We start from the raw sequence: 16,239 nt of genomic DNA, 5'->3' as shown, positions 1-16,239 counted from the left end.
TAAGGGCAGCATATTCTGTATTCTATGTCATTTATTGATACAAGATGTACATAGTTGAGATATTGTAGATTTGGTCAAGAAACCTTTTTTTTCTTTGAAAATAAAATTTTAATTGCATTCTCACCCGCATATAGGGCCATCTCATCTCCATAAGCCTGAGTTGTGGAGAGAGGCAAAGTTTTTATCAAGGAGAAAATTCTGATCTGCTCAAATCCTAGGCAAGTGCTTTGTTGAAATCTTAGATTTCTGTGTTAGAAATATTTTTTAACTTTAAGACAGCCTTTCAATTGCCTCAGTCATAAAGGATCCAGAATTTGACTTGGATTTGGAGAACTTGCCTGATGGTTAAGATATTAGCACCTAGATAGCAACCACAAGAAGCCAGTACCTTAGCCTGTTAAAGGGAATTATTTAATATCTTATTTTTGAATATTTAACTTTGGTTTTGGCAACATTTATATAACTGTTTTTTATAGGATATAATTAACCATTTGGTAAAATTGCTTCTTAAAACCATTCTTGGCCAGGTGCAGTAGCTCACGCCTGTAATCCCAACAGTTTGGGAAGCTGAGGCAGGAGGATCACTTGAGGTCAAGAGTTTGAGGCTAGCCTGGTCAACATGGTGAAACCCCGTCTTTACTAAAAATACAAAAAATAGCTGGGCGTGGTGGTGCATGCCTGTAATCCCAGCTACTTGGGAGGCTGAGGCAGGAGACTTGCTTGAGCCTGGGAGGCAGAGATTGCAGTGAGCCAAGATGGCACCATTGCAAGAGTGAAGCTCTGTCTCAAAAAAAAAAAAAAAAAAATCTTGGTTCATAAGGATGCTCATCAAAAGCAATGGTTAGATGATTAGTACAATTTATTTGAAGTGTTTTCATCATCTCAGTCAATGATAGTCCCAGATAAATTAATAACTCAGTTATTGTCAAATGAGAGATAACAAAGTGGTTATTTTTATTTTTTTTATTTTTATTTTTGAGATGGAGTCTCACTCTGTCGCCCAGGCTGGAGTGCAGTGGTGCGATCTCAGCTCACTGCAACCTCCGCCTCCCAGGTTCAAGCTGTTCTTCTGCCCCAGCCTCCCAAGTAGCTGGGATTACAGGCACGTGCCACGATGCCTGGCTATTTTTGTATTTTTAGTAGAGACGGGGTTTCGCCATGTTGGCCAGGCTGGTCTTGAACTCCTGACCTCAAGTGATCTGCCCACCTTGGCCTCTCAAAGTGCTGGGATTACAGGTGTTTGAGCCACTGTGCCCACCCAAAATGGTTGCTTTGAGACAAAGCTTTGCAGGGGACGAGGATATATCAAATTGACATATTCCAATGAAACTAGAGCTTTTGATCACAGCTTTAACTTCTTGTCTACTATTGATGGTCACATTTAAAAATTTACTTAAAACAAGTAAATACGTGTTTTAATAAATATTATCTAAAATATCTTACTAGGCTGGGCGCGGTGGCTCATGCCTGTAATCTCAGTACTTTGGGAGGCCGAGTCCAGTGGATCAACTGAGGTCAGGAGTTCAAGACCAGCCTGGGCAACATGGTGAAACTGTGTCTTTACTAAAAATACAAACATTAGCTGGGCATGGTGGCACGCACCTGTAATCCCAGGTACTTCGGAGGCCAAGACACGAGAATTGCTTGAACCTGGGAGGAGGAGGTTGCAGTGAGCCGATATTGCACCACTGCACTCCAGCCTGGGCAACAGAGTGAGACTCTGTCTCAAAAAAAAAAAAAAAAAAAAAAAAATCTTACTAGCCCCAGGAGGGAAAGGTATTGGTTTTATAGATGAGAAAATTGAGACTCTTTAAGACCCTCAACAGAACTGGTCTATCTGATTCAATAACCATTTCCTTTCTACTCTTAACCAGACAGCTTTTAAAGAATTATCAAGTATTTCAGAATTTCACTAAGATTAAGAATCACTTTCGCTGGGCACAGTGGCTCATGCCTGTAATCTCAGCACTTTGGGAGGCCAAAACAGGCAGATCACCTGAAGTTGGGAGTTTGAGACCAACCTGACCAACATGGAGAAACCCTGTCTCTAATAAAAATACAAAATTAGGCTGGGCGTGGTGGCTCACGCCTGTAATCCCAGAACTTTGTCAGGCCGAGGCGGGTAGATCACAAGATCAGGAGATCGAGACCATCCTGGCTAACACAGTGAAACCCCGTCTCTACTAAAAATACAAAAAAAATTAACCGGGTGTAGTAGCAGGCGCCTGTAGTCCCAGCTACTCGGGAAGCTGAGGCAGGAGAATGGCGTGAACCTGGGAGGCGGGGCTTGCAGTGAGCTGAGATCGTGCCACTGCACTCCAGCCTGGGCGGCAAAGTGAGGCTACGTCTCAAAAAAAAAAAAAAAAATACAAAATTAGCAGGACATGGTGGCACATGCCTATAATCCCAGCTACTCGGGAGGCTGAGGCAGGAGTATCGCTTGAACCTGGGAGGCAGAGGTTGCTGTGAGCCGAGATTGTGCCGAGCCGAGATCGCACCATTGCACTCCACAAGAACGGAACTGCATCTCAAAAAAAAAAGAAAGAAAAGAAAAAGCATCGCTTTCCATAACCTAACTTCTTTTGCTTTGTGTTAATCATTGGCGTAACTTTTTAAATATACCTTTCTTACGGTAGTTTGGTACAAGCTTTTACTTTTAAATTCCTAAGCTCTGCCTTTGTATCTTCTGTTTATGCAGGAAGTCTGTTTCTGTTACATGCTGCTGCATGTAAGCAGAATGACAGATTTGAATCGGAGCAGAATTTTATTTCTTCGGGTTATTTTCTCAATTTCCCTTTGTCCTGTAAAATATTTCTCTGAAGTACCTAACTTTTATTTGTATATCATAGCTACAAAATAATGGTAATGTCAGACCTCAGGTCAAGTTGTTTTAAGGAAATTTGTACCTAGAAGTATTGGGAAGAACCGGACTTTGAGTCCTTTAGACATGTATTCAAATCCTGACTCTATTATTTACTAACTGCAAGATTTGGGGGCCGGGTACGGTGGCTCACACCTCTAATCCCAGCACTTTGGGAAGCTGAGGTGGGAGGATCGCTTGAACCCAGGAGTTTAATACCATCCTGGGCAACATAGTGAGACCCACTCTGTACAAGAATAAAAATTAAAAAGTTAGCTGAGCATGATGGCACATGCCTGTAGTTCCAGCTACTCAGGAGGTTGAGGCGGGTGGATGGCTTGATCCTAAGTGGTCAAGGCTGCATTAAGCCATGATTTCACCACTGAAGTCCAGCCTGGGTGACGGAGCAGGACTTTGTCTCCAAAAAAAATAATACAGAAAGAGATTCGGGGCACCTTACCTAAATTTTTGAGCCTTAGTGTCTTCATCTACAGAAATGGGATAGTCACAAGGCTTGACAAATAATTTATGTAAAATGCCCAGCATATTTTAAATGTTCAAAAAATGTTAACTCCCCCTCCATGCACACATTGGCACCCTTTTGTGTGTGTATGCTTTTGCTCACCCTTATGCTATGTAGTGATAATATAATTGAGGTTTTGTTTTCTCATTCATTAATTCAGGCAACAGTTATTAAGCACTTACTGTTTATCAGGCATTCTGCTAAGTGCTATCTGGGGCTATAGAGATGAGACCCATTCCATGCCTGTTAAAGAGCTTACAGTCTTGGGGAGGGGCAAGGATGGCAAACCAATAATAACATTACTGTGTGATCAGTTCCCTAAGGACATACAATGGAAGTAAAGAGCTCAGGCCATTAATGACACCTGTTTTTGTAAATTAAATTTTATTGGAACACAGCCATGCCCATTCATGTACTTGTTTCTGTCTGCTTTCATGCTACAGTGACAAAGTTAAGTAGTTTCAATAGAGATGGTCTGGCCTGAGAATCCTGAGATAGTTACTTTCTGGCTCTTTATGGAAGAAGTGTGATGATTACCTTACACTGTTGTGAAGAATTGTTATAAGCAAAGTGATGAGGCCTTCCTCCTCCTCATGCTCCTTTGCAAGTTCCTCATGGCCTACCTGCAGTATATGTGATTCCTGTCCCCTGCCCCACTTCTCTTCGTGCTGTTTTTGCTGTGTAGCTGCTCTAAACAATACGGACCCTGTAATACCCAGCAGTCATGAGCAGGGCCCTAAGATTGTCCATTGGAAAGCCTTATGGGAGACAACAGTAACTTGAGAGATGCGCTATGGTAGTAAAAGAAAGATCAAGTGAGGAGCTGATTATCTTAGAATATCATTCCGGGTGTATGTGGATGGGAAACAGACTAAATAAATGTTCAGTGTCACTTCCTCATATCCTGTTTGATAGAGATAAATTTTCAAGTAAGGGAAGGATGTTGGCAAGTGGGATCAGAGAGGAAGCATGTAATGACATCACAAGAAACATTCACACTGGCAAGAAACCAGGGCAGTTATTTAAGTGTGTATGCTTTGAGGCATAACCCAGAATTCCTATTCCTGCTGTAATCAAGTTGACTGATAGTCGTAGTGTTCTTTGTGTCCAGTGAGCTACAACTATACAACTACTCTTTTTTTTTTTTTTTTTTTTTTTTTTTTTTGAGACAGAGCCATCCTCTGTCGCCCAGGCTGGAGTGCAATAGTGCAATCTTGGCTCACTGCAACCTCTGCCTCCTGGGTTCAAGCAATTCTCAGGCCTCAACCTCCTGAGTAGCTGAGACTACAGGCCTGTGCCACTACGCCCAGCTAATTTTTTGTATTTTTAGTAGGTAAAATTACTCTTAACTCTTGATTGTGAATGTTTGATTTGCTCTTAGATTCCAGAGATCTGGTTTATAAATAATTTGCTTATTGGGCTCCTTACACCTCTGCCTTGAGCTGAGTTCGCAGACCACTCGCTGCAAAACTGAAACTGGACTCCCTGAATTCTACTTTGTCCTTCTTGTTCCCTTAGCTTATGCTGGACAGATGCTACTTGGGATTCCTGAACTGTCACTTGAACCTCTAGGCTTTGGTCTTTTGGATTTCCTTTTGAATCTAGATAAGCCATATTCTCTTGTACACTGATTAGACCCTAACCTTTGCCTATCATTCCCTAAGTTCTGAACCTCTGTCTAATCTGACCCTGTTGTTATCTGTGTCCTAGAGTGAACATAAAATACCTCACTAAAAATAATTACAGTCCAGGCGCAGTGGCTCACGCCTGTAATCCCAGCACTTTGGGAGGCCGAGGCACGCAGATCACCTGAGGTTGGAGTTCAAGACCAGCCTGGCCAACATGGCAAAACCCCATCTCTACTAAAAATAAAAAAATTAGCTGGGCATGATGACGCATACCTGTAATCCCAGCTACTCCAGCTACTTGGGAGGCTGAAGCAGGAGAGTCACTTAACCCAGGAGGCAGAGGTTGCAGTGAGCCAAGATCACACCACTGCACTCCAGCCTAGGCAACAGAGCAAGACTCTGTCTCAAAAATAACAATAATAACAATTACACCTGTTCCGATTCCTAGCCTGTTCCTATTGATATATTTGTGCTGCATCAATACAGCTATCTGCTGATAAACAGCCATATATATAGCTATTATATATATATATATATATATATATATATATATATATATATATATGGCTGTGGTGACTCTTCATTAAACTTCAATAGCAGTAGTGTTTAAGGTCTCTCTGAGTTCTGTGGTGATAATGATAGTTTTTGTAGACCAGTGCTCTTTTAATTTTTCTCTTTTGGCAAGAGAATTTTAAACATTTTAATGTATTATTTTATGTTTTTCTACCTATTATTGGTTTGTGTGGTTTCTAAATTTAAAATTAGGCTTATGTGGTTTAGTACGGGATTGATGTATGCAGAACTTCAAATGTAGGGATGCCAAATATTTCGATAAGTAAAATTAACTAGTAAAAAAAAGTTAAATAGATTGTAATGTTGTAACACTTTTAGACTAATAAATATTGATTTTTTCATATTTCTATTTAGTTTTAATATTATAGTTTTGTTTGTAGCAAGCATTTTAAAGATAACATTTTGACATTAATGATAATGAAGTCTCTGATTTGACTCCTGGCCTTTTTCCTAAAGATTAAAATTGATATTATTTGAACAAATTATGAAGGAAGCTGTCTTAGGACATACAAAGAATCTAACTTTGGCACTGACATATTGAAGTGAGGTATATAACTAATTTCAACAGGATTCACAGGCTGTGTTCTTGGGTTTCAGATCTAAGAAACAAACATGATATCACTTATTAGAGCATATCTTTCTTTTCTGTCTGCTTCTAGGGTTACAGCTGAAGTAAAGCACAACATCACCAACACTGTGGTATGCAGAGTGCAAGGGGAATGGAATAGTGTTCTTGAGTTCACATATAGCAATGGAGAGACAAAGTATGTGGACTTGACTAAATTGGCAGTGACGAAGAAAAGAGTGAGACCTCTGGAGAAGCAGGATCCATTTGAATCCAGGTATGTCATCCTTGCATCTATCCAGGAAAGAGTCAGATGCTCTGCATCTTAATCTAAGCCTTTTCACTAACTGGTGACCTTGGCCAAGTCACTTCACAGGTTGCATCAGCTTTGTAAATTGAAAGCATTAGTCTGATCTGTTGTTAAACCCCTTGCCAGCTGTGAGATTCTTTGATATACAGTCACATTTTAGTAAAAACCAAACATTGTAAATGGAGCAAAAATATTAAAAACATTTACTGTCAAAGAATTACTGTGTGTATCATAAAAACTTTATCATAAAAAATTTTGTTATATTATTAACAAAAAGTCAGGCACCCCAATACAAAAACTGGGCAAAGGATGTAAAGAGGTAGTGCAAAAATATCGGAACATCTTAAATGCTCAACCAAGGAAATGAAAAATTGTTTAGGGTAATTAGAATTCAGAGGTACAAATTAATCAGACAAATTAGTTTTTAAAATAATACTTCTTTGGGGAAAAGGTGTGAGCAAATGGGCATTTTCATGCTGCTGATTAGATGTTAAACCAGTGCAATCTTTGTAGAGGTTATTTTGGCAGTATGTGTCATAGACCTTGAAAAATAAAGTGGATCTATACGTGTTAATAAGGTACAGCTTCCAAAATGTGTTGACAGTGGTTGCTTCTGGAAAAGAGTACTGGGATCTGGAATAGGAAAGAGACTTAATTTTTACAAGATTCCTATTTGTACTGTTTAAATTTTATGTCATGAGGGACATAAAATGTCCTTCTATCAATTAAAAATAGAAAAAAAATATACAGGGAACCACTAAACATCTTACATTAAGATCACATAAATAGAACCAAACAATTTCTAACTAGGTGTGAAAAGGGATTAAATGTCCACAATCAAACATTCAGAGTGGGTCAAAAAATAACAGCAATAATGAATTTTTAAAGAATTCTTACAGGGATTTATCCTAAGGAGAGGGTCTCAAAGTTTGCTTTGCAGACCCCTGTTGGGTCCTTGAGACCTTTTCAGGGCATCTGCAAGTTCACAATTTGTTTATAACAATACAGAGATATTATTTATCATTTTTCACTCTGTGGGCTCTTATGATGGTGCAAAAGGAATGCTGTGGGTAGCACTGGTGGGCCTTAGGACTAATCTAGGCAGTGGCACCAAACGTCACAAGCAGTCATTATATTCTTCACTGCCATGTACTCGCATGCCCCTTTCTCTTAAGATGTCCTTGAAAAAGCAATACAAATTATTAGTTTTTTTAAAATCTGGATTACTGAGTACATGTCTTTTTTTTTTTTTTTTTTTGAGACAGGGTCTCACCCTGTCACCCAGGCTGGAGTGTGGTCGGGCGATCTCGGCTCCCTGCAACTTCCACCTCCTAGGTTCAAGTGATCCTCCTGCCTCAGCCTCCTGAGTAGCTGGGACTGCAGGCATCGACCACCACGCCTGGCTAATTTTTTGTATTTGTAGTAGAGACGGGGTTTCACCATGTTGGCCAGGCTGGTCGTGAACTTCTGACCTCAAGTGATCCTGCCACCTCAGCCTCCCAAAGTGCTGGGATTACAGGCATGAGCCACCGTGCCTGGCCGAGTACATGTCTTATTAGTATTCTGTATGACAAATTGGGAATATAAATAAGTATTTGTGCTGGCTACCGAAGAAATATAGTAGTTATCTGGAGGAAGAGCACTTGTAAAATTTTTTGAGTTACAAGCAGAATTAATCACTTTGTTCATGAAATACCATGTTTACTTAAAAGAATGATTGATAGACAAACTATGGTTCTTCTAATTTCAATGTTAGGTAGACATTTTTCTTGTAAATGAAAGACATGAATGTGATACTTAAAGAAAAACAATTGATGGTATGTTACTAATAATAAAATTTGAGCTTCAAGGCAAAATTAGAATTTTAGAAAATTGTATCTGCCACCATGAACTTGAAAACTTCCCAATTAGTTTTCTGGTGAACTTGGTGCTTATATTATTGAACGTGATTTTTTAAAATATTGTATAGTATGTCAACATCTGGAAGATCTGCATAACTCAATGAACCAGTATTTTTCAAATGACTAATGCATGATATTACAGAATCATGCATGGATAAATGATCCATTCAGGATGCACATTAGACCAGTGGATTTCCATATAAGTTATTTGAAAAAATATTGACATTCTTAAATTTTCCACATTGCAACTGGCCTTTTTAAAATTACCAGTTGTCGAGTTTTGAAACAGTATGAAAGAATTGAATTATTTGAAAAATCTGTAAAAATATTTCTTCTCTTTTTCAAACTGTATCTGTGTGAGGCCAGAATTTTTTTTTTTTTTTTGAGATGGACTCACTCTGTCACCTAAGTTGGAGTGCAGTGGCATGATCTCGGCTCACTGCAACCTCTGCCTCCTGGGCTCAAGCGATTCTCATGCCTCAGCCTCCCAAGTAGCTGGGATTACAGGTGCACACCACCACACCCAACTGATTTTTTTGTATTTTTAATAGAGATGGGGTTTCACCATGTTGGTCAGGCTGGTCTTGAACTCCTGATCTCAGGTGATCCGCCCACCTCGGCCTCCCAAAGTGCTGGAATTACAGGCTTGAGCCACCATGCCCGGCCCAGATTTTTCCTATATATACTTTAAATCAATATATCACCACAGATTGAATGTATGGGCAGATAAAGAGATGCTTCTGGGCCGGTGTGGTGGCTCACGCCTATAATCCCAGCATGTTGGAAGGCCAAGGCGGGTGTGTCACTTGAGGTCAGGAGTTCAAGACCAGCCTGGCCAACATGGTGAAACCCCATCTCTACTAAAAATACAAAAATCAGCCAGGCATCTCTACTAAAAATACAAAAATCACCTGGCGTGGTGGCGTGCACCTGTAGTCTCAGCTACTCGGGAGGCTGAGGCATGAGAATCACTTGAACCCAGGAGGTGGAGGTTGCAGTGAGCCGCCGTTGAACCACTGCACTCTAGCCTGGGTGACAGAGCCAGACTGTCTCAAAAAAAAAAAAAAAAAAAAAAAAGATGCTTCTGAATTTTATTTGCTAAAATTTTGTAATGAATTTTATAGTTTCTATATACATGAGGGATATTGCTCTGTTCTTTTCTTTAGGGGAAGGTTTTGAATTACAAATTACGTATGTTTAATATATAGGGCTGTTAAGGTTTTCTGTTTCTTCAGTGAGCTTTGGTAGTTTGTCTTTCAAGGAATTGGTTCATTTCAGCTAATGTGTCAAATTTATTGTCATATAGTTCCTAATATTACCTTATTTTTTTATCTGTGTAGGATCTATAGTGATATCCCCATACTTATTCCTTATATTTGTAATATCTTTTTTCTCATCAGTGTGACTAAAAGTTTATTAATTTTACACAAAAAACCAGATTTTGGCTTCACTGATTTAATCTATGTTTGTTTTCTTTCTCATTGAATTTTGCTCTTTTATAAAATCTCTTTTTTTCTCCTTACATTGTAAATAATTTGCTTTTTTTTTTTTTTTTTTTTTTTTTTCTAATTTCTTACAATGGAAGCTTAGGTTAGGGGTCAGCAAACTTTTTCTGTAAAAGGCCAATTAATATTTTAGCCTTAGTGGACCAAATAGCCTCTCCCACAGCTACTCAACTCTGCCCTTATAGCATGAAACATCCATAGACAATAAGTCAATGATGAGACATTGTTAAATTGCAATAAAAAATTATTTACAAAAATGGGCTGTGGGCCATAGTTTGATCCCTGGTTTAGCTCATCAATATTTTTTTCCTAAATGTTTAATGCTGTAAATTTTCCTCTGAGGACTGCTTTATTTCTATCTGATGACTTTTTATGTGTTTTCATTTCGAAATATTTTCTTATTTCCTTTGTGGGTTTTTTTTTTTTAACTCATGAACTTATTTACAAATGTGTTGATGATTTCTAAATGTTTAGAGATTTTCCAGCTAGCTTTCCATTATTTATTTCTAATTTAGTTTCATTTTGGTGAAAGAATATACTTTGTATGATTTTAATTCTTTATTTAGGTTTGTTTAATGATTCTGAATATGTTCTGTCTTGGTAAATGTTTCTTTTTTTTTTTTTAAGACAAAGTAGTGTCTTACTCTGTCGCCCAGGCTGGAGTGCAGTGATGCAGTCTCGGCTCACTGCAACCTCCACCTCCCTGGTTCAAGCGATTCTCATGCCTCAGCCTCCCGAGTAGCTGGGACTACAGGCGTGTGCCACCACACCCAGCTAATTTTTTTATATTTTTAGTAGAGATGGGGTTTCACCATGTTGGCCAGGCTGGTCTCAAACTCCTGACCTCAAGTGATCCACTCACGTCGGCCTCCCAAAGTGCTAGAATTATTCATGAGCCACCACACCTGGCCTTGGTAAATGTTTCATGTGCCCTTGACACGAATGTGTATTAAGCCCAAGAGTTTGAGACCAGCCTGGGTAACATGGCAAAACTCTGTCTCCACAAAAAATATAAAAATTAGTTGGATGTGATGGCATGTGCCTGTAATGCCAGCTACTCAGGAGGCTGAGGTGAGTGTGTTCTATAAACGTCAGGTCAAATGAGTTGACAGTATTTTTCTAGTCTTCTGTAGTCTTACAGATTTTCTGTGTATTTATTCTATCAGTTGAGTTTAGTTATTGAGATTGGTTATTAAAATTACCAATTACAATTGAATATTTCACTTTGTAGTTCTGCAAGTTGTTACTTCATTTTATTAGAAGTTCTGTTATTAGGGCAGGCATTTATATTTAGGATTGTTATGTCTTGATGTTTCTGTTTTTGTTTTAATGTCTTTGGTTATTTATGGAGAATTCCTTATAAATTCATTTTTATTTTTGAGCCATCTCATGTATCATATTTTTTTAAAAGGATATTTGATACTTGATTTTCAGAAATGTGTTAGGAAACCTTTTGGAGCCATTAAGATACATATGTAGCCTTAATTCTTTAAATTATAAGACCTTTGGCATACTATCCAGCACTTTGGGAGGCCGAGGTGGGCGGGTCATTTGAGGTCAGGAGTTCGAGACCAGCCTGGCCAACATGATGAAACCCTGTCTGTACTCAAAATACAAAAATTAGCCGGGCATGGTGGTGCACGCCTGTAGTCCCAGCTACTCAAGAAAGTGAGGCAGGAGAATTGCTTGAGTCCGGGAGGCAGAGGTTGCAGTGAGCTGAGATGGTGACAGTGAGACCCTGTCTCAAAAAAAGAAAAAAGAGAAGAGACGAGAACAGAAGAGAAAGAGGGAGGGAGGGAGAGAGAAGGGAGGGAGGGAAGGGGAGGAAGAGAAGGAAGGGGGGAGGAAAGAAAGGAAGAAAGAAAGAAAAAACAGATGTTTAGTAACTTTCTCGAGTAGTACAGTCATTACCATAAATAAGTTTTAGAATATTTTCATCCTACCGTAAGATCTCTCTTGTTCATTTACAGTTAATCCCCATTACCCCCAGCCCAGAGAACCACTAACTTTCTGTCTCTATAAATTTGCCTTTTCTGGATATTTCATATAAATCATACAATGTGTGATCTCTTATGCCTGGCTTATTTCCTTAGTATAACGTTTTTGAGGTTCATCCATGAAGTATTAATTGCATGTATCAGTGGTTCATTGCTTTTTATTGCTGAATAGTATTGCACTGTATGGATATATCACATTTTGCCTATCCATAATACTGCTGTGAACATTCTCCTACAAGTCTTTGTATGGACATTTATTTTCATTTTTCTTGGGTAAATACCCAGGAGTGGAATTGCTGGGTTTATGGTAGTTTTATGTTTAACTTACTACATTTTTTTCACATGTATATCCAGTTGTCCCAGCACCATTTGTTCAACAAACAGTTCTTTCCCTAAAGAAGTGTTGTGGCAGTTTTTTTTTGTTTTTTTTTTTTTTTGCTTGAGATTTGTTAAGCTTCCCTCTCCCTGTGCGTGGCCTAGAAACACTCTGGACAGCGAGTTAGAGCACTCATAGGACTCCCCTCATTTGTTTCCTTTCTCAAGGATCACTGCCCTGCACTGCCTTTTGCTCAGTATCTGAAAACCACTATTGTATTATATGTTGCCTGGTTTCCTGGTTGATGAAGGCAGGAAAATAAATGTGTTCCCCATTATTTCATCATGTCCAGAAGCACAATTAGTCTTGCTTACATTTCAACTTTGAAAATTTACTTCTCTTTTTACTCGTTAATTTCTAAGTTTTCTAAAAACAAAAAATCCTGCTTTTATAACCTGGAAAAATACAAATTATTTTTAATTTAAAAAGAAGCAGAAGGAGCAGCATCCTGGACATAACCATCAGCAGCACAGTATCGTTATTCTTGGAATTCATAAGCATGACATTGTAGATGTGATTTAGGAAACGTTATTTTATAAAATTATTGTAATTTTGAGGGTATTGATTCTATTTAATTATCTCTTTTAAAGAATGCTTGTAAAATGTGTGGTTTTTGGATTTCAGGCGATTGTGGAAAAATGTGACAGACTCGCTGAGAGAATCTGAAATTGATAAGGCCACAGAGCATAAGCATACCCTGGAAGAACGTCAGAGGACTGAAGAAAGGCATCGTACTGAAACAGGCACACCTTGGAAAACCAAATATTTTATTAAAGAGGTATGCTGTACATGTGTTCAAGATAAAAATGTATCTACTTGGCTGAGAACTTTAGCTTACTAGGCTTTGTTGAATTGCTATCACTTATACATCTTTATTTTTAAAAGTAGTATGGCTGTATATAAATACCAACTGTTTTTGAGACCAGCCTGGGTAACCTATAGCAAGACTCTGTCTCAAAAAAAAGGCAGATATACCAAGAACAGATTCTAAGAAAGAAGAGTTTCTAAGTGAGAACATCTATATATCATTAAAAATGAGCTAGGGGGTGGCCGGGCTCGGTGGCTCATGCCTGTAATCCCAGTACTTTGCGAGGCCGAGGCAGGCGGATCACCTGAGGTCAGGAGTTCGAGACCAGCCTGACCAACATGGAGAAACCCAGTCTCTACTAAAAATACAACATTAGCCAGGTGTGGTGGTACATGCCTGTAATCCCAGCTACTCGGGAGGCTGAGACAGGAGAATTGCTTGAACCCAGGAGGCGGAGGTTGCAGTGAGCCAAGATTGCGCCATTGCACTCCAGCCTGGGCAACAAGAGTGAAACTCTGTCTCCAAAAAAAAAAAAAAGAAAAATGAGCTGGGGGGCCTGGCGCGGTGGCTCACGTCTGTAATCCCAGCACTTTGGGAGGCCGAGGCGGGCGGATCATGAGGTCAGGAGTTTCAGACCAGCCTGGCCAACATGGTGAAACCCCCATCTCTACTAAAAATACAAAAATTAGCCGGGTATGGCACGTGCCTGTAATCCCAGCTACTTGGGAGGCTGAGACAGGAGAATTGCTTAAACCAGGGAGGCGGAGGTTGCAGTGAGCCAAGATTGTGCCACTGCACTCCAGCCTGGCTGACAGAGCAAGACTCCGTCTTGGGGGAAAAAAAAAAGGAAAGAAAAAAAATGAGTTCTGGGGTGCCAGTGGAGACAGGGAGAACAGTTAGTACCTTCCCGATCATTTCTCTGTACTCCACCTGCTGCCCATAACTCTGTGAGTGAGGCTCAATCTGTAGCATCTTGGCGAAATTGGCAAAATTGCTACAAATGGTTCTTGCAAAATTAAATGTTCATGGGTCACAAACTAGATCCTCCCATACCATGTCTTCTCACCTAAATCCTAGCTAAACCACAGGCATCGTTTGATGTCTTAATCACAAAGACTTTATTCCTTCACAAAAACTTGTTTTTGAATGTGAAAATAGAATTCCATTTCAGTGAAGGTGTTGCTTCTAGTTTTGGTTACTGATTTTGATAATATTAGAGGGATGATTCTTTATCTTTTTATTTGTTTCAGGGAGATGGCTGGGTTTATCATAAACCACTTTGGAAAATAATTCCAACAACACAACCAGCAGAGTGACACATACTATCTAAAACTCGACCAAATGAGGTTCTTCTCTGTTTACCCTAAATCCTCCCAGAATGGAGTCATTGCACTGAGTGACCTGCTTCCTGATTGCGCAGACTGAAACTAGCTAAACCTGAATGTACCTACTAGGGCACCATAATACTGCAGCAAGACCAAAGTGGTAAAGAAACACAGTGGACCTTTTACCAACCTGTTCATGTGATGTGAGCAATACCATCTTAAAACTTGTTACCTGAATCAGTAGATGAATCTTTTATCCAGTTCTTGCTCCTAAAGTTAAGTTTGAATCCCCTATTTTTGCACAGGGGCAGCAGATACACACAACAATGAGAACTCAGTGACTTTGATTTCTTTGTAGTGAAAAGTGAAGTCTCCGTTTCAGAGTTTGTGTCTTTCTTTCTGTCCATAACTGAAGTATTCACTACTCTTGTAAACCAACCAAGAGGAGGAGAAAGATGACCCAGAAGTGGATTCAGCCATTGTGCCTGAAATCAGTGTTTAAAAAAAAAAATCAACCAGGTTGTGGTAACAAGGCATTCTATTTCTTCAAAAAGACTGTATGCCTGTGTCTGAGGAACTTACCTATTATCCACCTCTGTTGGAACTCTCTTTTAAAAAGTACATTTATAGATTGATCAGAATTATAACCATGGAGAATTTTTTCTTCTGAGCATTTTAATATACTTGAAAACAACATTGACTTGAAAAATTTCAGAACATTTTTCAGTACCTAGTTTTATTAAATATTACACTTGAGAGACACTTTTTAAAAATGTGTTAATGTCAATATGATGAGATTTTAGCCTTTCTCCAGAACTAAGGCATTAAAGAAAATAGCAAATATTAAAAAATAAAACTGTTACTTTTTTCCTTCTTTCTTTTCACCTTTAGGTTAATATCCAGTATTATGTGTTATCCCTTTGGATAAGTATGCTTTATTTTACCTCTGTTAAAAATTAAAATAAATGATTCTATTCATATTTGTCAGTAATTCAAAACTTATATGTGTAACTGAACGCGCATGTAAGGTATGGTTTTATTTATTTTTTTTTTTTTTGAGGAAATTTAAATGCTAAAGAAACAACGAAATGAAAAGGTATCAGGAAAAAAAGATCAGGAAGTTGTATTCAGGTACAAATCTTTTTTTAAATAAGTATTTTGTTGAGGTTGAAGAATTGCTGGCAATTAAAAGAATAGAGCTAATTATGGCTTTCATCATTCATTCATGTATTTATTGAGCACCTACTTATTATGGTGCTCAACACTTGTTACTGCAAGCTACCTTAATTTCCCAAGAGTGGTGCCTTACTCTGTTTTTTCTGATATGGTCTTCCAATCAGTGTGTGTAACATACCTGTTGTTTATCAGCCATTGTAGGTGGCTGTGTCTGTTGCATCATCATAAGAAGTTTAAGCTTTGTGCTCTGATAAATTGTGTTCTGTTAAAGAGGTTAGTAGGATGAAAACAGCAAAACAATAATTTTTTCAACAAATTGTAAATTATAAGAAAAAGAGTTGGTTTGTGTACAACAATTTTAATGATTCCCTTGTTCATTTTTGCTGTGAAATGCACTGAAAAAAATCCTCAAAATGAGTTATAGTTCCTGTGTTGGGAAAATTGACAAATAATAAAACTAGAGAACAAACAATAATGCTTCTGTCTCTTTTACGAATGGAGAGAGAAAGTTTATATTCAGTAGAGTTATTGCCCTGTTCATTTGAGAGGGGCATGGATTTTCTGTTTAAGTCCTTCAGGAATCTTCAGCTAGGTGGTAAATTTAATAAGAGTTTCTAAAAATTGAAATGTTTAACTTTTAAATATTCTGGAGATAGAAGAAGAATATAAAATGAAACCAGGCTGATCTGCAT

At 38.5% G+C, this 16,239-nt stretch overlaps 1 protein-coding gene across 1 annotated transcript in view; it reads left to right on the top strand.

Moving 5' to 3' along the window:
• The window catches only part of OSBPL11 (oxysterol binding protein like 11), a 66,640-nt gene extending 50,621 nt beyond the window's left edge, over window positions 1–16,019 (top strand). The window contains exons 11-13 of the mRNA NM_022776.5: window positions 6,244–6,426; window positions 12,863–13,016; window positions 14,297–16,019. Coding sequence (NP_073613.2) covers window positions 6,244–6,426; window positions 12,863–13,016; window positions 14,297–14,362 — 403 coding nt within the window. The 3' untranslated portion in view covers window positions 14,363–16,019. The remainder of the gene's footprint in view (window positions 1–6,243; window positions 6,427–12,862; window positions 13,017–14,296) is intronic.
• Window positions 16,020–16,239: the final 220 nt, after the last annotated feature.

The sequence above is a fragment of the Homo sapiens genome, chromosome 3 (genome assembly GCF_000001405.40).
Source record: "Homo sapiens chromosome 3, GRCh38.p14 Primary Assembly".
Classification (NCBI taxonomy): Eukaryota; Metazoa; Chordata; class Mammalia; order Primates; family Hominidae; genus Homo; species Homo sapiens.
Note: the sequence above shows the minus strand (reverse complement) of the source record. Positions and strands in the feature narration are given on the sequence as shown.